The sequence below is a fragment of the Homo sapiens genome, chromosome 6, assembly GCF_000001405.40.
Source record: "Homo sapiens chromosome 6, GRCh38.p14 Primary Assembly".
NCBI lineage: Eukaryota > Metazoa > Chordata > Mammalia > Primates > Hominidae > Homo > Homo sapiens.
Window position 1 is genome coordinate 7,967,917 of NC_000006.12, and position 26,457 is coordinate 7,994,373.

General features: G+C 41.5%; 1 long non-coding RNA gene and 1 pseudogene across 2 annotated transcripts in view, besides 2 other annotated features; one reads left to right on the forward strand and one right to left on the reverse strand.

The window, feature by feature from the left end:
* The window catches only part of BLOC1S5-TXNDC5 (BLOC1S5-TXNDC5 readthrough (NMD candidate)), a 183,165-nt gene that overhangs the window by 86,667 nt on the left and 70,041 nt on the right, over window positions 1–26,457 (reverse strand). The gene's annotated exons all lie outside the window — the stretch shown is intronic.
* Window positions 8,001–8,130: a silencer, noted in NCBI's record as "silent region_16894". NCBI's record gives its function as "represses an Ori minimal core promoter by ATAC-STARR-seq in GM12878 lymphoblastoid cells {active_cell/tissue: GM12878}" and the evidence as "EXISTENCE:reporter gene assay evidence [ECO:0000049][PMID:35858748]".
* Window positions 18,028–18,529: an enhancer, noted in NCBI's record as "H3K27ac-H3K4me1 hESC enhancer chr6:7986177-7986678 (GRCh37/hg19 assembly coordinates)". NCBI's record gives its function as "activates a minimal SCP1, AML or CMV promoter by ChIP-STARR-seq in naive H9 embryonic stem cells {active_cell/tissue: H9 hESC(naive)}" and the evidence as "EXISTENCE:reporter gene assay evidence [ECO:0000049][PMID:30033119]".
* PIP5K1P1 (phosphatidylinositol-4-phosphate 5-kinase type 1 pseudogene 1) lies at window positions 18,186–22,428 on the forward strand (annotated as a pseudogene). The gene has a single exon (NR_027712.1). The product of NR_027712.1 is annotated as a phosphatidylinositol-4-phosphate 5-kinase type 1 pseudogene 1 (transcript).

The window sequence follows — 26,457 nt, forward strand, 5'->3', positions numbered from 1 at the left end:
TAGGATACGCCCCTGGGAATGCTCTGTATATTTCTATTTCTCTCCACTTCCATTTTTCAGTGTAACAAGTGAGATGGGGAAGATGGGAGAGACAGTCTTGCCAGGCCATACGAAGTGATGGCCCGGTATGGCATGGGGAGTGGTGAGCACAAGGTGAGTGGAAGGAACAGAACAGGAAGTGAGAATGAAATTTTGGAACTTCTAGACAAAAACATTTGCATACAAGTATTTTATAATCTATTAAATTAAGTTGGATTAAACACATTATTCTGATGTATCAATGCAGATGACTAGAAATGGACGTACGTGTATTTCAGATGAGTTACTATTAAGGACTACGACAAAAGTGTATCTTTAAGCCACAGTTGAGACTTAAAAAAAATCTGTTTATAAAATATTCTGAGCAAGGTGCCTTTGGTGCTGAACATACTCATATTTGGTGTCAGCCCGAAAGTGATTATTTTCCCCTTGCATGACTTAATAGTAAGGCATTCAGTCACCTAGAGGCTGCTTATAAAAAAGCAGCAAATGCCTGCGGAGCGCTCCTGGCCCCCCAGCATTCTTCCCAGGTCACTGTCACTGCGGTGCTGGTGTGCTCCCCACCAAGATGCCCGAAAGCAGAAGGCCTCACGGAGGGCAGCCAGGCTGCCTGTGACCTGTGTGCCATAAAAAGAGACTCACTCACCACCCTACATAAACAGAGGGAGGTTTAGTTAGGAAGCGAGAGAGAAGGGGAGGGAGAGGGAAAGGGAGGCAGTGAGAGGCTGAGCTGTGGAATGTAAAGGAGCAGCATCAAAAAGGCTCAGTCCTGAGCTATCACTTCAGCAGGAAACTCGTATGGCCCCCAGAAGCTCTTCTGGGGACACTCAGGGGACCAGTGTCCCCAAAAGAGCTTCTGGGGGCCATATAAGGGGAGGATGTAGTAACTTGATCATGTGGTCTTATCACACTGGCCCCCAGAAAGGATGTCAGGGCTCTCAGGGCAGAAGGCTTTCCTGATGTGAATAGCAAACTCAAGCTGGACAAATTTTGGCCCAATTTCTCTGATTTCAGAACTTGACTTAAGATCTAATGCTGCCTCCTCAGAGAGGCCTTTTCTTTCCGATCTAAGCTACACACCGCCTCCCATCATTCTCTATCACCTTAGCCTAACATTGTTTTTATAGCCTTTATCACAATCTAAAGTTATCTTGTATATCTGTTTACTTATCTGTTGCCTCAGCCTCTAGGCTGGGATTTTGCAGAGGATGGGTGCCATGTTTTGTTAAACACTGCTCTGTCCTGATGCTAGAACAGTACCTGGCCTGGAAGAGGCACTCGAGACTGGATAAATGAATAAACAAAGGCTCAAATGAGTGAATGGATGCACTAAAGAAGTAGGCCAGGAAATGTTGCTTTGAGGGATGTATGGAATAGATGAACAAAGAAAAAAAAGAAAGAAAAGAAAAGGAAAAAAGAGATCAGCTTGTTTGTAACCTGCAACCACCTACTGCCTGCCAAGTCTTCCTGCCACTCCCATGCTACCCAGCCACCCTCCAGGTTTAAATGCAAAAACCTGCTTTGCAAGATATCTAGTGGCAGTTTGTTGAGGACCCAGGGAGCAGTTCCCTCAAACACTACTACTGGTGATCTTAGATTCAGGAGGGCTGAGGATGACTAAATTTGTATTTGCAATTCAACCATAATCTAGCCCAGAAATTCTTGACATACTGGAATCTCTGGGAGAAAGGACAAGTAAAGAAGTATATAGAGCTTAACATGACCCAGATTCTAACTGCTTTGTTTGCTTTGGGACTTTTAACACTTTTTAAGCAGAAGTATGTTCAAAAAGGTTAGAAAGTAATCTAAATAATGCAGTCAGCAGTCAGACAAGATTTATAGAAAATCTTAATAAGAAGAGAGAGTCAAGGGTTAATCTAAAACTTGGAGCTCTAATGTCCAGGAGGGCAGTGGTTTTTATTGATCATGGGGAACTGGGGAAGCTAATTTGGGACATGACACTAAGCATAACTTGAAATTTGCTGAAGTTCAGATGATAGCAAGATATGCTGCAAGATTGCAGTAGCCTGTAAGTAAGCCAGTAGAAAGGTAAGAGTTAGAGCCACTAATAAGAACCTTATACAAAATCTGTATAATGTGGTATAATGGAGACCATAGATCTAGTTTTCATTCCCTGTTCCTGGGGCAGAACTTCAAAAGCCCTTGGAACTTCCTGAATGACAGGAATTATTATGCTAATGAGGTGATCCATGGTGGCCCCTAGGTAGCTTCAAGATGGGGGCTGGTCACCAGAAAGACCAACTGTGTGATTACAGTGTTGGAATTCTTAGCCAGTCCAACCTCCAGGGAGAGGAGGGGACAGGTAGAGACTGAGTTCAATCTTGTGGCCAGTGATTTAATCAATCATGTCTATATGATAAGGCCCCAGTAAAATCTCTGGACACCGAGGCTCAGTAGAGCTTCCTGGTTGGTGAACAACTCAGTGATATCCTGGGAGGGTGATGTGCTCAGATTCCATGGAGGAGGGCATGGACACTCTCCATCTGGGACCTTCCCAGACCTTACTCTATAAGTCTCTTCCATTTGGCTGATCTTGAGTTGTATCCTTTATAATGAGACTGTAATCATAAGTATAGTGGTCTCCTGAGCTCCCACTCTTACCATGTGAGATGCCTGCTCCCCCTTCACCTTCCACCATCACTGTAAGCTTCCTGAAGTTTCCCCAGAAGCTGAGCAGATGCCCGGTGCCACGCTTCCTGTACGGCCTGCACAACCATAAGCCAATACACTTCTTTTCTTTATAAAATTACCCAGGATCAGTTATTTCTTCATAGCAATGCAAGAATGGCCTAATGCAAAGAGCCTGTACACATTGCTTGTATATGCACATATGCATTACACAATAGTTGCCAGGATATATAGGGAATTTCAGAGGCCTACCTTCAAGTGGGAACATTATTGAATTTTATATTTTATTTCTTACCATTCTGAGTCATTAACTGTCAGTAATTAAGGAATTCTAAATGTTATAATGGATAATAATTTTGCTTACACCTTATTCAAGAAATGTAGAGTAGGATGATCACTCTTGTATGTGACATTAAGTATATGTATCACAGCCACTTAATCAAAACTAAAAAAAATCTAATCTTTAAACTTTAATATGTGAAATTACAGGCTCTGAGGAAATCTAGAAAAATTACATCTCTGTTTAATTCTTGAAACTCTTTATTCCTTTAATTTTAAGATGTCACTAATTTTAAGATGATGACAGACTTTGGGGGAGCTGGGGAGAAAAGGAACACCTGCTCATGAAATACAGATGCTCCTCGACTTACAATGGGGTTACATCCCAATAAACCCATAGTAAGTTGAAAATACCAGATGTTGAAAATGCATTTAATACACCTAACCTACCAAACATCATAGCTTGGCGTAGCCTACCTTAAGCATGTCCAAATACTTACCTTATCCTACAGTTGGGCAAAAATCTTCTGGCAATGCAATACACTGTTGAGTATTAGTTGTTTAGCCTTGTGATTGCATGGCTGATTGGTAGCTGTAGCTCACTGGTGCTGCCCAGCATCCAGAGAGATTACCGTACTGAATACTCTACAGAATATGGTATTGCTAGTCCAGGGAAAGAGCAAACTTCAAAATTTGAAGTACAGTTTCCACTGAATGCATATCACTTTCACACCACTGTAAAATTGAAAAATCATTAAATTGAACCATCATAAGTCAGGGATATTTATACAGTGAAGTATAAATATCCACTGTAAGATATTATTCCGCTTCAGCAAAGGGAGCATGTAAAAAAATTGAGTGCACCTTATATTTCAGAAAATACAGTAATATGGTAGGAATTCAGATTGTCTTTACTTCTTTTTAACTTTCAGATGATTTGCCTTAAATGTGTTGAATGTAATCACTTTTACCTTACACAATTTTCTTTTCCAAAAATATGATGGTCTGAAAGCAGAACTGTATTTATAATAAAATGTCCAGATTGGGGGTAAAGTGGCTGAGATAAGACAAGGGCCAATTTCATTCTACAATAAGCAGTCTGAAAAATTTTTAAAAATACTTAATTTTCTATATTAACTGAATTTTGGAAGGCAGTTTTTCACTAACCACATCTTAATACATTATAGACTAACAGAAACCAGCTTTTTCTCATATATACATGTAAAGTGCAGGCCTTCTATGGAGCAAGGAGACTTTATTCTCCCATTGGGCACCATTTTACTGTGTGGAGAAAATCACTGAGAAAAAGACACCGTCATCAAGCCTATACAGTATCAGCTTAATGGACATGAAAATACGGGGAAACAGGAATAATGTCAAAGGATGTAAATACTCAGAGTGATTCACATACAGAAGCGGGTGGCAAAGAACAGAAACACCGAGGCCTCTCAGGGCAGCAGCTCATGGAACGGCCCCTGATCCCGATGCAGCAAGGGATGGATGGTGGGTCGCTTTGCCAGCAGCCACCTGCAACCCTAGGGCTTCTAGACAATGGCATCACGTCCCATCTGTACCCTAGATGGCTGGCCCAAAGGACGCAGTATCCACAAAATTCATGATTATATTTTTATGGCTCTGTGAATGAAAATTCCCTCATAACAAGTAAGTCAATCTTCTCTCTTTCTGATCTTGAACTTTCTTTGGGTTATCTATGTGAATTTAGCAAACCACCCAGTGCAAGAAACGGCGCTATTGAGTTCAGATGGTGAATCACAGCCTTGCTTAGACCAAGAGACTAAGAACGCTACAAGCAAAGTGTGCGGTCCTTACCCAAGCCTAAGCAATCTAGCTAAGCTTCGCCTTAACTTGCTAGAAACATGCTGAAAATAGGTTGTATGATCGGGCTTTGATCGAAGTAAGACTTCCACTCTGATGAGGTCCCTCTCTTCAGGAGGTTTAAGTCACCAACATTTAAAAACAAACCTATCCACGTATTATGAAAAAAGGGTGTTGTAAAATCTGAAGTGAAGAACATTCTGCCTTTCAGTAGATGACCTAATTAATACAATACCATGATAGATGCCTGATAAATACTTCTGGAGATGATGCTGATTATTTTATAATGCTGTCCAAAAGTGAGTAGGTGTTAGGTCAAGGGAAAAAATATATAGCCGTCCCTTGGTGTCGGTGGGGGATTGGTTCCAGGACCTCCAGTGGATACCAAAATCTGTGGATGTTCAAATCCCTTAGAGAAAATGGCACCATATTTGCATAAAATCTATGCACATCCTCCTGATATCCATTAAAAATCTCTAGATTACTTTTAATACTTAATACAATCTAAATGCTACGCAAATAGTTGTTATGCTGCATTGATTCTTATATGTGTTATTATTTGTTGTTGTATTGTTATTTTTAATTGTTTTTTTCTGAAATTTTTTTTCTTCTCCAGACAGAGTCTTGCTCTGTCGCCCAGGCTGGAATGCAATGGCGCAATCTCAGCTTACTGCAACCTCCACCTCCCAGGTTCAAGAAATTCTCCTGCCTCAGCCTCCCAAGTAGCTGGGATTACAGGCACGCATCACCATGCCAGGCTAATTTTTGTATTTTTAGTAGAGACAAGGTTTCACCGTGTAGGCCAGGTTGGTCTTGAACTCCTGACCTCGTGATTCGCTCACCTCGGCCTCCCAAAGTGCTGGGATTACAGGCATGAGCCACTGCGCCTGGCCTTTTCTGAATATTTTTGATCCACAGTTGGTTGAATCTGCAGGTGGGAAGCCTAAGGGTAGGGAGGGCCGACAGTACTGTATTTATAAATGGTGTAATTAAGTTACTTAGTACTGACATGGGAGCTTTCATGTTGAATTGTAAGTCATTATGTAAATATTAACTATGTATCAAAATTCTTATAACAAAGCAGGCTATGGCATTTGCTTTGAGTCACTGTTGAAGAACAAGCTCTGTGACTTTGGAAAATGATGAAACAGAACTCATCTTCCTTACTCCCCACTGTCCTTGAGTTAATAATGGTTAATAACACTGACATTGCCATTCAGGACTTACATTGTACTTCAGCAGTTAAGTGATTTATAGTACAATACTGAGCTTGTAATGAAAACAATCACTATTTTAGTTATTATAAAAAATGTCTATGAGACCATGAAAGGCATTTTTATCACAAGTTTACAACAGAATCTTTCAAAGGTGATGGCTACCTGTGCATCTAATGACTTGGGCTAAAGAAGCCTGCAAAGCAGTGTAGCCATCTCTACATCTAAATGGTGCAGGGCAGGTGAGCCCCAAAGTGGGACTTAGCCCACGAGGGTTCTTGGCTTTGCCCAGGAAAGAATTCAAGGGCATGCTGGAGGTAGACAAAAACAGCTTAACTGAAGCAGCAGTGTTATACCTCCATGACTGCTCCTGCAGATCTGGGCAACCCCATAAGCAGAGAGGAGCAGCTCAGGGCAGCTTTGCAGTCGTATTTATACCCACTTTTAATTATATACAGACTAAGGGATGGTTTATGCAGAAATTTCTAGGAAAGGGTTAGTAACTTTTGGGTCATCGGATCATTGCCATGGAAAGGAGCGATAACGCCCGGGTGTTGACATGGCAATGGTAAACTGACATGGCACACTGGTGGGCACGCCTTATGGAAAGCTGCTTCCACCCTGGTCCTGTTGTAGCTAGTCCTTAATTTGGTCCAGTGTCTGAGCCCCGTCTCCAGAGTTGAGTCCCACCTCCTACCTCATAAAGGCAAGGTTAGTGAGTGGAACAGTTAACACTAGTTTCAGAGGCTCTTTAGGCAGCTCAGAACAAGCAGGTCCAGTCCTAGGCTATTCTCAGTTGCCTCTCTAGGTTATCAACGCCATCCTTTGAGAGTCAAGGATGTGTCAACCATCGAGAGAATGACTTATGTGACAATCAAACCCTCATCCTGTCAGATAATCATGCATTTTTTTTTTCCAAGGGCAATGGAAAGTGAGCAAACTCTTCAAGATGAGTTGATTGCATTAGTCTTTTTAAAAAAGTTAAGTACTCTTAAGACGACGGCAAGGAGTGGGGGGAAAAGTTAAGTACTCTTTACGTGACCCAGGAGTAAACGAGATCCTTTTGGCAAACCTCAGAATGTTGGATGGTGTTGACGGCATGGACTGGGCAACCGGGAAACCATGTGCTAACTGGCTGCTTCATCCCTTTTTCCTTTTCTGCGTCTGCCAGGTGGGGCCCTGAGTTCGGAGCACGTCTGGCTCTCTGCGGCATCCTGCCTGTTATCTCTGTCTGGCAAACAACCACTCCGTGCTCCCAGAACTTCGGAGCCTTCCAGGGCACTGGGGATGAGTCATTCTCAGCTCACTGTGCCAAAGGTCTTTTTGGCCGAGGGACTGAGGAAGACCATTGTTGTGGCTGGCTGTTATCTCTCGAGCCGACTCCACTTGGCAGAGGCACAAGTCCATCTCTCTGGTGTGGAACAAGGCGCTGGGCTCTAGATGAGTCAACACGCTAATAAACAAGAGGCATGGAGGAAATAGCAGCCAGTCTTGAAAACAAAAAAAAAGAAACATTTTGAAGTGTACTGGATGCCGAGATGTTTGTCCTCCATGGTGCAATCCTGCTTTATCTCACTCCACAGCCTTCCTATCAAAGAAATGGGGAAGTTAATAGTTTATCAAATGTGAATCGGCTGTAGTGTTTATGCATAACTTACATAGCACGGAAAGTATTTTTTGGTGCTGGGGGTACTGTTTTCTTTCATTGCAAATTTATATCTTTGTCATTCATCTCCCTTTTTGTCAGACTACATATTTTAGGAAGTCTTCTGTCTACCAAGAGGTTTATTGTCTCCTGAACTTATCCCCATGCCATCAGGGAAACCACCCCGACGGTGGCTCGGCAGTTCCCGGAGTGAGATAAAAAACAGCAAGCTTTCCCCTAATGTAGACAGAGAAGCAGGATGGAAACCCTGCTCTGGGGAAGGTCCTGTCTCTGAAGCAGAAGACCAGGGCAGAGGGAGAGCATGCTGTACCACACATGTGTTCCCTGCAAGCACAGCGTGGTGCTGTCAAGTAAACACTGGCCACAGCAACCAAGCAGCAGCAAAGCCCTGCCTCTCAGCACCTGCGTGGGTCACTGTGATGGCTCACACCAGGTGCACCAACACCTCACTCTGGTGATTTAGCAGGAACCCACAGATTCCACATGAGGCGGGAGCTCAACTGTTGAAAACACAGTGTGTCGCCATTAGGATTCTTGGGGAAATGCAGGTGGAGGAAGCCAACTCTAGTCCCAGGGCAACTTTTGCTTCCAGAGATCCCAAATGCACAAGAGTGTTCCCTAAGCTTGCTCTGGATGGAACGCAAGGGACACAGGACTTCCTAGGGTGACTCACAGACACCTTGTAATAATCCTGTGTTGACAGTCATAAGAAGGTGACCGTACCTCTGTTTCCTCCAGAAAATCCTGGTTTTGTCCTACTGTATGTATTAGTGACACCCACTTTCATGCTCAAAAGGTGTTTTCATGTGGATGACAAATGCTCCTCTTGTCAGTCCACTCCCTCATGGAACTAACGATCAGCTTCACTGATGCCACAGCTGCACTATTAGGGCCACTTTCCACCTGCACTTTGTTTCAGCAAATGCCTGTTAAGCACCCGTGGGGCATCCCTTTGCCTCCCACTGTGCTTGGCAAACAGGACAACATGAATAGATGGTCCTCACCACAAGCCTTAGTCTAGTCAGAGAGACAGACACCTCAATAGATGACTACACAGCCCTGTGTTAAATGTGACAGCAGAGGCACGCACAAAATAGGACCGCAGTGTCTCCCCTCAACGTCAGTTTACCATCCGCTCACTTGGAGAGTTATCTAGGGGATGTCCCAGCTTGCAAGTGGGGACAGCAGTGCTGGCATCAGCAGTGTGAGCAGACAGAAACTCAGAAAGCCATGGAGTAGGCGTGTTTCTTGCTGTGCTTTGGGAAGCGTCATCAGCATCTGGAGAGCAGAGTGTAAACGGGGACACAGAAGTGCTCACTTTTTCCCCTAAAGATATGCACAATTTTGTAATTTAAATATTTACTTCTGTTAGTGCTTAGCTACTACAGAATGCAAAATAAATCCACTCTAAAGAAGCTAAGATCCAGGTGTCTTAGTCAATTTAAGCTGCTATGACAGGAAACTATGATTTGGGTGGCTTATAGAATACAGAAATTTATTGCTTACAGTTCTGGAGGCTGGGAAGTCCAAGATCAAGGCCCTGGCAGATTTGGTATCTGGTGAGGGCTGCTTTGTGGTTTACAGATGGCACCTTCTCACTGTGTCCTCATGTGGTGGAAGGGGGAAGGCAGCTCTCTTTTATAAGGGCATTAATCCCATTCATGAGGTCTCCACCCTTGTAATCTAATTATCTTCCAAAGGCCCTACCTCCTCATACTGTCACCTTGGGGCTTAGGGTTTTTCTTTCCTTTTCTTTTTTTTTTTTTTTTTTGAGATAGAGTCTCATTCTGTTGGCCAGGCTGGAGTGCAGTGGTGCGAACTCAGGTCACTGCAACCTCTGCCTCCTGTGTTTAAGCGATTCTCCTGTCTCAGCCTCCCAAGTAGCTAGGTCTACAGCCATGCGCCACCATGCCTGGCTAATTTTTGTATTTTCAGTAGAGACAGGGTTTCACCATGTTGGGCAGGCTAGTCTCGAACTCCTGACCTCAGGTGATCCACCCATGTTGGCCTCCCAAAGTGCTGGGATTACAGGTGTGAGCCACCTCTCCTGGCCAGGGGCTTAGGATTTCAACTTGTGAATGCAACATGTGACCAAGAGACTAATGACAAAACTGCTACAATCAAAGCATGCAGTCCTTACCCAAGCCTAAAGAATCTAGCTAAACCTTACCCTAGCCAGCCAAAAACTCGCTGAAAGTATGTGTATGACAGTCAGTGAACATGACTTTGATCGAGGTAAGACTCACACTCTGATGAGGTCCCTCTCTTCAGGGGATTTAAATTACCAACATGTCAAAACAAACCTATCCACATATTGCAGAAAAAGGGATGCAAATATTCAGACCATAGCACTAGGCATGGAGTTTAGGATTAGAAAGGAAAACTTCTGCTGATTCTATTTTTACCCATGTCCACTGGAGGCAGACCCTCCTCTCAGCAGTCTTTAGCACTGATGCAAAATTTGTAAAGTATTGAGTTTTCTCATTATCTTTTGAGTGGCTGCGTGGACATGCCTGCATTTTTAAGCTTTGTTCATTTCATGCACTTTCTACGTAGAACATCTGATATGGTTTGGCTCCATGTCCCCACTCAAATCTCATGTTGAAATGTAATCCCCAATGCTGGAGGTAGGGCCTGGCAGGAGGTGATTGGATCATGGGGGTGGTTTCTCATGGTTTAACACCACAGGGCCCTTAGTGCTTTTGTTGCAATAGTGAGTGCTCATGAGATCTGGTTGTTTAAAAGTGTGTGGCACCTCCCCCTTCTCTCTCTTGCTCCTGTTCTGGCCATGTAAGACATGCCTGCTCCCGCTTTGCCTTCTGCCATAATCGTAAGTTTCCTGAGGCTTCCCCAGAAGCTGAGTGGATGCCAGCATCATGCTCTGTGCAACTGTGGGCCAATTAAGCCTCTTTTCTTGATCAATTACCCAGTCTCAGGTATTTCTTTACAGCAATGCGAGAACAGACTAATACAACATCCCTCTCCCTCTTTTTCACTTGTTGAAAGGTGCCAATCCAAAGAACAAACAGAGAGGGAGACTCTCTAAAAGACAATTACGTTTATTTGGGAATAGGGCGTTGTAATGGGAATATGCACGCCATAGTCAAGTGTGTGCGAATTCAGGGAGATTAATTTAAAAGGCTTTTAAAGGAAAATGAGGATTACATAATTGTTTTGAGATAATTATCCATGGCTACAAGGATTAATAGCAAGGATAGTGCCAGTCTGAGGCTAGACAGGCAGTTGCTAGGCAGACGTCTTCACAGAAGTGTTTTTGTGTGTGTTAGGGTTGCAAGGGCCTTTGTACAAGGTTGTGGTTTTTGCAAAGTCTTTTGTGGTAGTTCTTGTTATCAGGCATTCATGCATGAGTGCCCTGCATTCATGGCCTTCCTCAGCTCTATTTGTCAGGGCTTTTAACACAAATGACTCCATTTTGATCCTGACAACTTTCACAATGGCAAATCATGAGACCAATTCACAGGTCGACTCCTTAAAAAAAACCAATCCCTGATCCCACGAGGCAGGACTGGTCCTAATCTTATTCTGTATATTAATCCTTGATAGCACTTGTAATCTGTTAGTGAATTGTCTATAAGTCATTGTCCACAGTTAGACTCTGAATTCTTGGAAGCCAAGCACTGTTTCTGATTCATTTTTCTAATTCTAGCATTTAACATAGAGTTCAGTAAATATTAAACACGAGTTTGGATAAACATAATCATAGTTTTAAAAAGTGCACAGCGCAATGAATTATCCAGAGAGAATATACCTGTGTAACTATCACCCACGTCAAGAGTTAGAAAACTAGCAGCACCCCAGAAGCGCCACCTTGACCCATCTTCCAATCCCTGCATGCTTCCATCTCTTCAAGGTAGCTGCTATTTTGTCTTCTACCACTACCAGGTATTAGTTTTACTATTTTAAGCATTATATAAAGGAAACCATATAGTATATTTAATTTTACATTCAACTTCTTTCACTCAATATTATGTTATATATTATCTATCTATATATATATATTTATATTATTGTAGGCAGCTGAGTTAGTTCATTTTGGGAGGCTGTATAGTATTCCATTGGATGAATACACCACAATTTATCTACTTGACTCCTGTTGGATATTTATTTCCAATTTGAGGCTTTTATATATTATGCTCTTATAAAGTCTTATATGTGTTTTATAATATACATGGACACAATTTCTGTTAGAAATGAATTTTCCAGGTCTTTGGGCACAGCTCTGTTCAGCTTTAGTAGATAATGCAAAACATTTTTTTCAAAATGTTATGCCAGTTTATACTCCCAACTGTACTATGTATGTTCCCATTGCTGTGGATTTTGACCAACACTTGATATTATCAGTCTTTTAAATTATAGACACTCTGGCATGTGTGGTATGTGTGTATGTCTGTGTAATAGTATTACATTGTGGTTTTAATCTGTTTTCCCCATGATTAGTGAGCTTGAGAACTTTTTAACATTTTTATTGGCCATTTGGATACTCTCTTTTATGAGTTTCCTGTTCAAATCTGTGTTGCTCATAATTTCTATTAGGCTTTCTGGCCTTTTATTTGATTTTCAAATGGTAATCCAATCTTGGATTCATAAAATAATCCAGACTTATTTGTGATGTATTATTCTTTTCTTGATGCATTACTACATTGTTTTTTAATATTTTGTTCAGTTTTTGCATCTATGTTCATAATGGCATTGTCTATAATTTTTCTTTCTAGTAATACAATTGTCATAATCTGATGCTAACTTATTCTGGTCCCATAATAATACAACCCCAAATTGGGATGTATTTTTTCTTTTAATCTCTGGAATAATTTGTGTAAGATTACTATGGTAGGCAGTCTCTAAGATCATATCCCAAAAATTCTATTATCCTGGTATTCATGCCCTTGTGTAATAACCCCCCTTTAGTGTGGGCCAGATTTAGTGACTCATTTCTAAGAATATAATCTATCAGGGATGAAGGGATGTCACCTTCAAGATTAGGGTACAAAAAGACTGTAGCTTCAGTCTTCAGTGCTCACCATCCCTTGCTCAGTCTGAGGAAGCCATCTGTCATGTTGTGAACAGCCTTATGGAGAGACCCACATGGTAAGAAACTGAGTAAGGTCTCTGGCCAACAGCAAAGGAAGAAGTAACACCTTCAGTCAACAGCCTGTGAAAAACTGAAGCCTGTCAACAACCACATAAGTGAGCTTGGAAGTACACACTTTACCAATCAAACTTTCAGATAAGACTGCAGCCCCAGCCAAGAGCTTCCCTGTGGAAAAACCTTGGATCAGAGTCATCTGGGTAGGCCACACCTGGATTCCTGACCCATAGAAACTGTGAGATAATAAATGTTGTTTAAAGTTACTAAGTTTTGGGATACTGTGTTTTGCAGCAATAATCAATATAATTACCATTATTTTTCTTTTAAATGTTTGAAAGAATTCACTGGTAAAATCATTTAATCTTGGAGTCTTCTTTATGGACAGACCTTTAATTACATATTTAGTTTAATAATTATAGTACTATTTAGATTTTCCATTTCTTTCACTTAGTTTTGTTAAGTTTTATTTTTCTAGGAATTTGTCCATTTCTCTACATTTTCACATTTACCGGCATAGAGTTGTGTCTAAAATCTTACTATCTTTATGATAATTAAGATTCTCATTGTAAGATCTGTAGGATCTGAAGTATGTTCCCTTCCACATTCTTGATACTGGTTATTTATGCCATCACTTTTTCCTGCACCAGTCTTACCAGGAGCTTGTCAATGTTATTAGTCTTTTCAAAGAAACCACTTTTGGCTTTGTAAGTCCTCTCTATTTTTATTAATTTATTTCATCTATTTATCCTTTTCTTCTACTTTCTTTAGGTTTACTTTGCTGTTTTTCCCTAAAGCATTTCCTTTCCAAATTTATTTTTTGTAAATTTAAATTTTAAACTTATTTTTGTAATTTTTTGTAAATTTAAATGTACAGTTAAAACATTCTTAAAGTTTATTTAAAATCATACATTTTCCTTGAAGCATGGATTTAGTTGCATCCCCAAAATTTCAATGTCATACTGTAATCCTTTTTCAGTTTGCAATATCTTCTAACCTCCGCTGTGATTTCTCCTTGGCCCAGGACTTATGTAGAGGTATATTTGAGTTTTTTCTAGTAATATTTTACTTAATGATTTCTAGCTTAATTCTACTGTCATCAGAACATACTCTGTATAATCTTAACATTTTGAAATTAGTTGAGTCTTGTTTTATGGCCCAGCATGGGATCACGTTTTATACATATTCCTGTGTACTTAAAAATTATTTGCATTATGAACATTATGTAATAGTAAGTACACTGTTCTGTATATGCCAATTTGAATTAAGCTTGTTAATTGTCTTGTTCAAAGCTTCTATATTTAAAGTGCTTTTTCTATCAATTATTGAGGAAGCTATGTTATTTGCTGAAAATTTAGAATTCTTATACCTTATTGTTGAAGTAAATATTTAATTATTATGAAGTATCTCTTTTTATGTCTAGGAATACCTGTTACCTCAGTGAACTTTCTCTGATATTAATCTTTGTGATGTGATATTAAATTACACCAGTTTTATTTTCATTAGTGTTTGTACACTATATCTTTTCCATTCATTTACTTTCCATCTTTCTGTGTTCTCAAAATTTAAATGTGTCTCTTCTAAAGCATAAAATTGTTTTAAAAATAAATTCAGGCTGGGCACGGTGGCTCATGCCTGTAATCCCAGAACTTTGGGAGGCCAAGGCAGACAGATCACCTGAGGTTGGGAGTTCGAGACCAGCCTGACCAACACGGAGAAACCCCATCTCTACTAAAAATACAAAATTAGCTGGGCGTGGTGGCGCATGCCTGTAATCCCAACTACTTGGGAGGCTGAGGCAGGAGAATCGCTTGAACCCAGAGGGCGGAGGTTGTGGTGAGCAGACATCATGCCGTTGCACTCTAGCCTGGGCAACAAGCGTGAAACTCCATCTCAAAAAAAAAAATTAAAATAAATAAATAAATCCAGCTATTAATATTTTAATAAAAGCATTTAGTTGCTATGTAGTTAACGTATGTCTTGATATATTGGGGTTTACATCCTCCTAGGCTTCATGCTTCTCTTGCCTATTCTAGTTCCTTCTCCTGTACCTCCTCCCCCCTTCCATTTTGCTTTCTTTTTGAATTAACTTGGTATTTTAAAATAATTTTCTCCCGTTAATTTGGCATTTTACAATCTTTAATTACTTTTTAGTTACAGAAATTACAGCATTCAGGCCAGGCATGGTGGCTCATGCCTGTAATCCCAGCACTTTGGGAGGCCAAGGTGGGCAGATCACTTGAGTCCAGGAATTTGAGACCAGCCTGGCCAACGTGGTGAAACCCATCTCTACTGAAAACCCAAAAATTAGCCAGGTGTGGTGGCGGGCGCCTGTAATCCCAGCTACTTGGAGGCTGAGGCAGGTGAATCGCTTGAATTTGGGAGGCAGAGGTTGCAGTGAGCCGAGATCAGACCACTGCACTCCAGCCTGGGCAACAGAGCAAGACTCCTACTCAAAAAAAAAAAAAAATTAATTTTAAAAAACGAAGCTAACATCATTAACACTTTTACTTCAAAATGCAAAGGACTTTATAATACTTTAATTTTGTTTAGATCCTTCATTTCTGTTGAGACTTTAAACAATTATGTTTTTAAACTCCAAAGCATAGCATTAATATCATTTTTTGAAGAACAACATTCATTTGGATTTACTCATTTATTTACCCCATTTCTCTCGCTCTCCATTTCATCCCCCATCTCTAAAAAATTAGAGTCACTTTTCTCTTGCCTGAGAATGTTCTTTGGTGTTCCCTTTATTACAAAGATGCCTCTGGTAAATTCTCTCAGTTGTTGTTTACCTGAAAATGCCTTTGTTTCCTTGTCAATCTTGGTAGTTCTTTTTGCTAGGGATAGAATTCCAAAATTCAAAGATTTTATTCTTCTGTCTTCTATTATTTCTGTAAAGAAGTTAGCTGTCAGTCTTATGATTCATTCTATGAGGATAATCTCTCCTCACCTACCACCTCACTTTCTTTGCTTTAAATTTTCTGTCTGCCTTTCAGCAGAATTTTACTATCATTTTTGTTTTTATTTATCTTACTTGAGGATTACAATGACTCTTAAAACTATGACTTTAAGTCTTTCATCAATTTTGAAAAATTCTCAGCCATTATCCCTTGAAATGTTGCTTCTGTCTCATTTTCTCTCTCCTTTCCTTCCAGGACTAAATGTTACATTCTTTCACTGTATTCCCTATCTTTTCTTTTTTATGTATTTTCTTTGTTTTCTTCCTGTCTTTTTTTTTTTTTTTTTTTTTTTTTTGAGATGGAGCCTTGCTCTGTCGCGTAGGCTAGAGTGCCATGGAGCAATCTTGGCTCACTGCAACCTCTGCCTCCCAGGTTCTAGCGATTTTCCTGCCTCAGCCTCCAGAGTAGCTGAGATTACAGGTGCCTGCCACCACGCCTGGCTAATTTTTGTATTTTCAGTAGAGACAGGGTTTCACCATGTTGGCTAGGCTGGTCTCAAATTCCAACCTTCGGTGATCCACCCACCTCAGCCTCCCAAAGTGCTGGGATTACAGGCATGAGTCACCACGCCCAGCCTCTTTTATGTATTTTCTAAACTTTTATTTTTCTATGCTTCATTCTAGATATTTTCTTCAGATTTTCCTACTCCACTCCTTCTCTCTTTAGCTGTCTCTAATCTGCCATAAATCTTATCCATTGAGTTTTTCTTTTATCATAATTTTTAGTTGTAGAACTTTGTTCTTTTATAGCATTTCTAGTTCTCTGCTTAAGTTGCCAATCTTGTCATTTATTTCTTTAAATATATTAATCAGTGTTACTTTAAAATCTGTATAAGAGAATGATATTACTGAGATATGGCAGGATCCCCTGTGAGTCCATTTCTATTGTCTATCATTTCTCTTGGTATTCAGTCACATTGTCTTGACTCCTTATGTACATAATAATGACTGCCTGAATTCTGGACATTACACATAAAAAATGAGAGAGAATTTAAGGGCTAGGACAATGTTATTAATATATTTCTCCAAAGAGGAATATAAATTTGCTCTTTATAGACATCTAGGGATATTACCCATCTCAATTATCTTGATCCCACCAGGGATTGAGGTGATTCGCAGCTGAATTGCAGTGTCTGTGAGGAACGGTCTATTTCTATACACATTTACTCCCATGCTATATAGCCTTTCAGGGTCTCAATCCGAAGTTTTGGGAAGTTTAGCAGACAATTGCTGTATCAGACCCCAAACTCAGTTTTTTGTTCCCTAATCCACTGAGTTTGTCAAAAACTCTGCTAAGCTTATCAGACTCTCAGCTACCTCTAATGGAACATGCAGAGGTCCCTAAGGAAACAGTGGGCCCAAATGCTCACCTCTCTGTACTTCTTTCTTTTCCCAGATCTCAGTACTATAATTATTCACTAACTTCTTAGGACTCCAATGTATCCGACCAAATTTTTAAAAAAATTTGTTCTCTGAGGGAGGTTGGTTTAAATGGACTATTCTGCCATAAACAAAAGCCAATCCCCATTTATAAATATTTTATTATCACAAATACTTGTCCATTCATGGTAGTATGCTGGGGGCATAGCAGCACACATAATAAATTTCATATAAATAAAGTGTACAATTTTTCTGTCTCATTAGAGAACATATTTGCGGCATTATTTGTTAGCATGTCATTATCATAGGTTTTGACAGGATGGTAGGGAATAAATATTATTCCTTAATTCCATAGGTTTTAGAGTATGGAGGGATCATGTAAATTTACCTAAACTCCTCCCTTCCCATTTCATAGAGGCAGCAATAGAGCCCCAGGGATGTTGAGTGACTTATCCAAGATCAAACAATCAGCTAGTGGCACAAGCAGATTCTTAAATCAGTTATCACACTTCTAGAGCGCTGAGGTCTTTCTTCCATAACACACTGGTGTTGTTTGAGAAAGCTTCTATACATGAATTGGAGTTTCAAGTATGTTTCTGATACTAAGAGAGAAGTGAGGCTAGAGGACCCGAGATGATAGGGCATTCGAGTCATTAGGTGCAACTTGAAAAAAAAAAAAAAAGGCTTAGGTAGGAATGGGTTGATCACGTAAATAAACTGATGGATCGGCTGGGCACAGTGGCTCACGCCTGTAATCCCAGAACTTTGGGAGGCCGAAGAGGGCGGATCACCTGAGTTCGGGAGTTCGAGACCAGCCTGACCAACATGGTGAAACCCCCATCTCTACTAAAAATACAAAATTAGCTAGGGCGTGGTGGCGCGTGCCTGTAATCCCAGCTACTTGGGAGGCTGAGGCAGGAGAATCGCTTGAACCCGGGAGATGAAGGTTGCGGTGACCTGAGATCGTGCCACAGCACTCTAGCCTGGGCAACAAGAGGGAAACTCCGTCTCAAAAAAAAAAAAAGAAAAAAAGAAAAAAAGAAGGAAACTGACGGATCGAAGCGGCTGGGTTGGGCGGTAAACAGGCCGTGGGTAGGGAGGACAGAGAGGCGGCGTTCGCTCCTCTGGGACTTTTCACGCCTCGTTTTGTTTTTTTTCTTCAGATGTGGCTTTTTCCTGACGCAGGGTCCAAGCAGTCAGCTTGAGCTTACTCTTCTGTGAAAGCGGAAAGTCTCCTCTGAGGAAAGCGGTTGAACTTGTGGAGGGCGTGCGAGACGGGCGTTCTCCCCCATGCCAGGCGAATGGTGCGGCCTTGAGCTGGTCCAGCAGCCGGCTCGATGACAGGTCTGAGGGAGGCCCCAGAGGCGGCGGGAAGGTGGCCCGCAGAACGCGGGTTCTGTAAAGACACGTGGAGAAGATTCGATTCCGAGAACAGGAAGAGGCGGATGGAAAGACAGCCAGGCGGCTGCCGGGAAGGGGGCTGCCAAGATGGCGTCGGCCTCCTCCCAACCGTCGTTGGCGGTCGGTTTTTCATCCTTTGATCCCGGGGCCCCTTCCTGTACCGCGTCCTCAGCATCTGGAATCTTGAGCCCCACGGCATCTGAGGTGCCTTATGCCTCTGGCATGCCCATCAAGAAAACAGGCCATCGAGGTGTCGATTCCTCAGGAGAGACAACATATAAAAAGACAACCTCAACAGCCTTGAAAGGTGCCATCCAGTTAGGCATTACTTACACTGTGGGGAGCCTGAGTACCAAACCAGAGCGTGATGTCCTCATGCAAGATTTCTACGTGGTGGAGAGTATCTTCTTCCCCAGTGAAGGGAGCAACCTGACCCCTGCTCATCACTACAATGCCTTCCGTTTCAAGACCTATGCGCCGGTTGCCTTCCGCTACTTTCGGGAGCTATTTGGTATCCCGCCCGATGATTACTTGTGCTCCCTCTGCAGTGAGCCGCTGATTGAACTCTGTAGCTCTGGAGCTAGTGGTTCCCTGTTCTATGTGTCCAGCGACGATGAACTCATTATTAAGACACTCCAACATAAAGAGGCGGAGTTTCTGCAGAAGCTGCTTCCAGGATACTACTTGAACCTCAGCCAGAACCCTCGGACTTTGCTGCCTAAATTCTTTGGACTGTACTGTGTGCAGACAGGTGGCAAGAACATTCGGATTGTGGTGATGAACAATCTTTTACCAAGATCCGTCAAAATGCATATCAAATATGACCTCAAAGGCTCAACCTACAAACGCCGGGCTTCCCAGAAAGAGCGAGAGAAGCCTCTTCCCACATTTAAAGATCTAGACTTCTTACAAGACATCCCTGATGGTCTTTTTTTGGATGCTGACACGTACAATGCTCTCTGTAAGACCCTGCAGCGTGACTGTTTGGTGCTGCAGAGCTTCAAGATAATGGACTATAGCCTCTGGCTGTCAATCCACAATATAGATCATGCACAACGAGAGCCCTTAAGCAGCGACACTCTTCAAGTGTCAATCGACACTCAAAGACTGGCTCCCCAAAAGGCTCTGTATTCCACAGCCATGGAATTCATCCAGGGAGAGGCTCGGCTGGGCGACACCATGGAGGCCGATGACCATATGGGTGGCATCCCTGCTCAGAATAGTAAAGGGGAAAGGCTTCTGCTTTATATTGGCATCATTGACATTCTACAGTCTTACACGTTTCTTAAGAAGTTGGAGCACTCTTGGAAAGCCGTGGTACATGATGGGGACGCTGTCTCAGTGCATCGCCCAGGCTTCTACGCTGAACGGTTCCAGCACTTCATGTGCAACGCAGTATTTAAGAAGATCCCCTTGAAGCCTTCTCCTTCCAAAAAGTTTCGGTCTGGCTTATCTTTCTCTCTGCATACGGGCTCCAGTGGCAACTCCTGCATTACTTACCAGCCATTGGTCTCTGAGGAACACAAGTCACAAGTGATAAAGGTGCAAGTGGAGCCAGGTGTTCACCTTGGTCGTTCTGATGTTTTACCTCAGACCTCAGAATCCACCTTTGGAGGAAATCAGTGAGGGCTCACTATTACTGACCACAGTTTCTCACCTGTAGTTGGAAAGACTTTGCATATGCTAACTACAAGTATAACCTTGGAAAAACTTGAATGTACAGAGTCAGAGTTCACCCATTAAGCGCAAAGCCTCAGAAGACCTGGAACAAGATTCTGCTTCTCTGTGATCCCAAGATGTCAGCCCTTGCCCCAGCAATGTTGAATTTTCTTCTACTTGGTCATCAAAAAAGGAGTGTAAAAGAAGCGAGGTGCACTCTCCATCTTCTTCCTGAAGAAGAGCCTCCTATTCTTCTCTGTCCTCATAAATGGGCATTAGTGCCTTGGACAGTTGAGGACCACTCCATCCTCTCCACAGCATCCCCTCCACTCCAGAGTTGGGTGGCACGGATTTTCAACTGGCTAACCTTGGTTTCCACAACTGAATTTTTTTCAGACCCCCATTCTTCATGCTGGAAATGAGATTACTGGACTTGGCAGTTTTCTTTCCCCTCATCTTTCACCAGGAACTGGACTCTTCATTTCCTCAGGACAGACTAGCTGCCACATTATCCCCACCTTAGTTCTTTCTCTCTGATCCCTGGAAGAAAACCCCTGTAATCTCTGTATAGGTTTTTGGGGGATAAGGGTGTTTAACCACCTCCCAACTTTGTTTTTTTTTTTTTCCTGAAAAAAGGAAAAAGCGCACAGCACCAAATTTCAAGCCAGTTTCAGATCAAAAATCCAGAAGTGTTGACGAGATGCCTATCCGTAGGGTTCCCTCAGAAGAGCCACGGTGTTTGTGAAGGGAAAAGTAGTGATTGCTCTGCCAGAAGCAGCTCCTCTTTAAACTCCTCATCTCTTGATGAATTTCTTAAGGCTGAAGGAATGGAGAGAGTGGGACGTGGGGTAATCTTTACCACTTTTGTTAAAACATGAGGCAGCCATGGGTTGGGAGATCATAGCCCTTCCTGGGCAGAATCCTATTCACTGCCAGGCTATAATGATTATTACTGTTTTGCAATTTGAAATATATTCTGGTTGCTTTTCTAAATATGAAGACTTACCAAATGAATTTTAGATCATTCTCCAAAGGAGATTTTTTTGCTCTTCCCATCTTTTCCAACAGTGTTCTCCTGTTTGTGGTGCTAAGGTGAAGAGGGGACACCTCTGTCTGTTTAACAGGCAGTCCGTATCTGTGAGGCCAGCAAATATTTTCTTAAATTCATGGGGAGACAGTGGATTCTTGCCTCGGTGAGGTCATTGCTATGCCATATGTCCTACCCCCGTCTTCATGCAGAGAAGTTGGAAATGGGGGCTACATATGCCCTCTCCTCCCCACCTACAAGAGTTGTGGTTTTCCATCTGATCCTTCCACTGTTGTCAGGAGAAGAAGGGGGCCTGGTATCTCAGGCATATTGTTGAATTCCTGTTCTATCCCTTCTCTATCCCACCCTGCCTTGACAGTAGGTTAGCCCATACCCCAAATAACTTTCTATATTAGACACCCCCAGCCAGTTTCTGGCTGCCTGTCTTTGCTGCCATGTTCTTTTTTACAAGAAGGAAAGAAACAATTCTTGCTATTTTTTTCATAATTTACTATTTATGATGTATTTAAGTGTTTTATTAAGGACAGAGTTCTGTAAGGGGTGGGAGAGAATATTTGAGGGAGGGCTGGGTCTTAGGGAAAGGAATAGGGAATCAACATTTTAATGAAGTGTCTCTATTTGCTTCTACTTTGTATCATTCGGAAAAGGCAAATGCAATATAAAAGTGATATATGGTTTTAATGTAATAAACTTTTATCAGTTATTTAGAAAAAGAAAAGAAACCGATGGATCATTTTGACAACAATGAAGAAAGGAGACAGGAACAAGGAAAAGTTGAGGTTATCCTGTAAAGCATCTTAAAGCAGAAAGCAAGGCTCTTAGTTTGTAATTTAATACACCTGACTGTAATAATTGTAAAACAAGGCAGGAGTCAAGGAAGGGAGGCAGCTGACGATGCCATGTGTCTGTCAGCATAAGGCAAAGGCAGAGCGAGGTGAAAAGGCATGACCAGGAAAGATGACATGCATTGTCATAAATAAATGCAGAGAGAAATAATTTTTTTTTGTGAAAACGAACGGACCCATATACTTTATAAACACAGGGTACCACTTATTCTTCAAACTATCTAAACTAGTCATGGATGAGTTTTCAATGTTTTTATATGAGTTCTTTCATGAGTCCAAAATACTATTTCTTACATTGTGTCTTTCCATAACTTATCTGCCAATAAAGATACCTGCTAGGGCACCAGGAGCTTTAATGAGAGGCTTCTTTAATGTTATGTTACTAGCATGACTTCTGAGACACATTTATTCATCCACTCATATACTAAAGCACTCATTTGAGAAGCACTTATTAAAATTTATGCTAGAACTAAGGAAACAGATAAAAGACACAATCCCTGATGCCAAGAAGTTGCCTGCCTTGCTGATGGAATTTCCTAGTACCCCATGTTATTCTTGGCTGTGCAAAAATTAGATTTTTAAACTTTTATTATTGTCTAAAATTATGGGTTATACCATTTAGAGAAAAAAGCCTCACTACTGTTGCAGGTTGAGGTTACCATTGGGATATTAGGTATCAACACAGGCCCCATGACAGGATTTGAGTAAAAACCGTAGCCTTTGCATAATGACAAGTCTGTGTCACTTTTCCTAAAACTGTGTGAAAACAGAAAAATTACATCTTCTTCTTTTTTTTTTTTTTTTTTTTTTGAGACTAGTCTTGGTCTTGTTGTCCAGGCTGGAGTGCAATGGCATAGTCTCGACTCACTGCAACCTCCACCTCCTAGGTTCAAGAGATTATCCTGCCTCAGCCCCCCAAGTAGCTGGGATTACAAGCGCGCACCACCAGGCCCGGCTAATTTTTTGCATTTTTAGTAGAGATGGGGTTTCACCATGTTGGCCAGGCTGGTCTTGAACTCCTGACCTCAGGTGATCCACCCTCCTTGGCCTCCCAAAGTGCTGAGATTACAGGCGTGAGCCACCATGCCCGGCTAATTATATCTTCTTATTGCTTTCAAAGATCTTAATGACAATAAAGAGAGCCAACGCTCCATCCCAGAAGGAAGAAAATGACCATGTCACTTCTGAATGTTTGCTAGGATGCTAAAGTAAAAATGGGCTGAGGATATAAGAAATGCTAAAGTTCAGGTGGCATTGTTGCTTATAAGTCAATGAAAATTAAGTCACATTAAACATTCAGTTCCTTAGACACATTAGCCACATTCCGAGTACTCAATAGTTACATACGGCTAGTGGCTACCATATTGGACAACACAGATAAAGAACACTTCCCCCACTGCAGAAAGTTCTACTGGACAATGCTGGAAGTGAAATGGGTCTCCTAAAAAGCTTCAAAGGTAAGGTTGTACATGGTGTCGATGAGTTTGAGTAGCAAAGAAATTATTTTAAAATTATAATTAAATGTAATAAGAGATATTTTTAAAAATTCTGTTGGAACTTTTAAAGACATAATTTAGCCAAACAAAAATGATACAAATTTTCTCCTGGAACTTTGGGTGTTTGGGTGACTGTTTTGAATCTTGTCTGTGGGACAAGCAAGAGGCCGTGCCCCTGTGTGTGGCCACCAGATGGACCTGGGATCACTGACTGTGTTGTCTTGGAGTCATCCAGCTGTTGGCTGACAGAAAAGGGAAGGGCATTCACCCTGCATGCATATACATGCACACAGACATACCCTGCCTGCCTGTTGCCAGCTTCCATAACATGGGGGAGAAACTTTTAAAAAAGAAGGTCCTCTCATTTATGTGACTAAAGTTTTGCCTTTGAACTAGTCACATGGAGAAACAGAATGGCCTCATCTGCAGTAGATTTTAGTTAATGCAATTTATCTGGCTCATGTTGACATACTATACTATTCTACACTCTACTTACTTGCTCAAATCGAAGTCAATTTGATACATCCTACTCTTGATCTTAAAATATAAGACAGTAAATGGGTGCAGTATTTCTTGGGTTATTTGGATGAATGAGACCTAGAACAATATGAAACCTGTTACTGGGGCCTAAATGAGATTGGTCAGTGCTGGTTTCTTTTATGTCTTCTGTCTACCCCCTGGTGGAGGGATTCATTACTAGTCAGAGCCAAAGAAGGAAAGAGAAAGAGAAAAAAGCATGAATTATTTCCTGAACATCTATTCAGTCCCTCAATAATCTTGGGTTTGTTGTTTATACGAGAGTGCCAGCTCAACGGGAGAAGAGCTGAAACCCATTATTTCCCTTTGAACATGTTCTTCACCGGGAATGGCAGGAGGAGCAGAGCAGCAGGAGGGCTGTCCTGCCAAAACGCTGAACTTGGAACTGAAGGGGCCATCGCTCTGGGTGCAAAAAAAGAGTTCTGAGCTTTGCTGCTCTGGCAGGCCTGGAATCCTTCCCTTGGCTGTGGATAATACCTAATGATTCAGAGGAAGTACTGTCAACTCTTCAAAGCAGACCTAGCTAATTGTGTAATGTTATTCTGAGGCACTGGGAGAAGCCAAAAAAGAAGGGAGGCTGGGGAGAAATTCCTTCCTTTGCAATGATCAGCTTACATCCTGCACCATCAGATTTGATTATCCTTATCTTTTCTTGCATAACTACAAATGTTATGACTGGTCATAGTGACCAGACTTCCAAAAAAAAATCCAGCCACAGTATTTGACTCTATGACTGCCTCTGGCGGTAAATTCCTTAGACTAGCTACATGCTGTGCAAAAAGCTATTTCCTTTGATTTATTCATTTCCCAGTTCTTAACTCCATCAGGTGCCCCCTTGATCTCACATTAGAGAATGAGGCAAAAAAAGAAAAGGAAAAAAGAAGTCTGTTCATTTTGCCTTATCTCCTTGCAGTTAGGAAATGTAAATATCCACTAACCTCTTTTGCTCATATTGCACAGTAATTTTTAAAATTAACTCCTTTTAACTAGCTCTTTTTTTTAATTGAATAAGTAATACAAGGACCTGATTAAAAGATTTAGGCACTACAGGCTGGGTGCAGTGGCTCACGCCTGTAATCCCAGCACTTTGGGAGGCTGAGGCTAGCAGATCACGAGGTCAGATCGAGACCATCCTGGCTAACACAGTGAAACCCCATCTCTACTAAAAATACAAAAAATTAGCTGGGCGCGGTGGCGGGTGCCTGTAGTCCCAGCTACTCGGGAGGCTGAAGCCGGTGAATGGCGTGAACCTGGGAGATGGAGTTTGCAGTGAGCCGAGATCGCACCACTGCACTCCAGCCTGGGCGATAGAGCGAGACTCCATCTCGAAAAAAAAAAAAAGATTTAGGCACTACAATAAATAGAAAAAGGAAAAGTAAGTATCCCTCCCATTGCAGACCTGCAGACCCTTGATTCCTCAGACCCTACCCTGAGGCAGTCATCAGTACCAGCTGCTGGTATACACTCTAGAAATATCCAAATGCAAGCATGTGTGCATTTTCTCCTTTTAAAATGTATCTTTCTTTTTCACATAATAACATCTTGGAGATCATTCCATATTATCATGTTTAGTGCTAACCCATCCTTTTTCATGGCTGCATAGTATTCCCATTCAAATATACCACACAATTGATTAACCAGTTCCATATTAATGGATATTTATGTTGTTTCTAGTATTTTTCTCATATGAAAAGCTACAACAAAGACCTCTGTACACATCTTAACAAGTATGTGCCATACCTTGTTAAGCACATACCAGCCAGTATGTGCATTTTAAATGTTGATAGATATTTTCAGATCGCCCTCCAAAGAGGTTACATCAATTTATACTCTCCTTTGAGAGTATGTAGGAGTATGTAGGAGTCCTCTTCCTCACTTCTTTGCTAACATATATATTAACTATAACAAATAACTAATAATATTTTACAATCTTCCATCATATGACTGTTCTGCCTGAAAAACCACACAAGATGCAGTGACCTCTACGTAACCATCAGGTCCTGACATTAAGCCTTTTGCCCAGTCTCCTGTAACACCACTCTCACCTGTATAAGCCCTAACATCTAATAGGGAAAACAAGCAAGATGAAAAAAAACAAAGAAAACGGGTTACATAAACTAACGAACCAGCGCCACCTACACGTCCCTGGGCTTCTGTACCACCAAATTCGTGAACTAGCCAATTTGCACCTATAACTGTTTGTGTATGTGTTTTGGGGGATGGAGTTACCAAAAGATTCCTAAAACGGTCTGCGATTGCTACTTAAAAAAGATAAGCATCAGTGATCTATGTAATTAAAAAGAGAGCAAGAGAAAATTAAAATTGGAGGGCTGGATGCA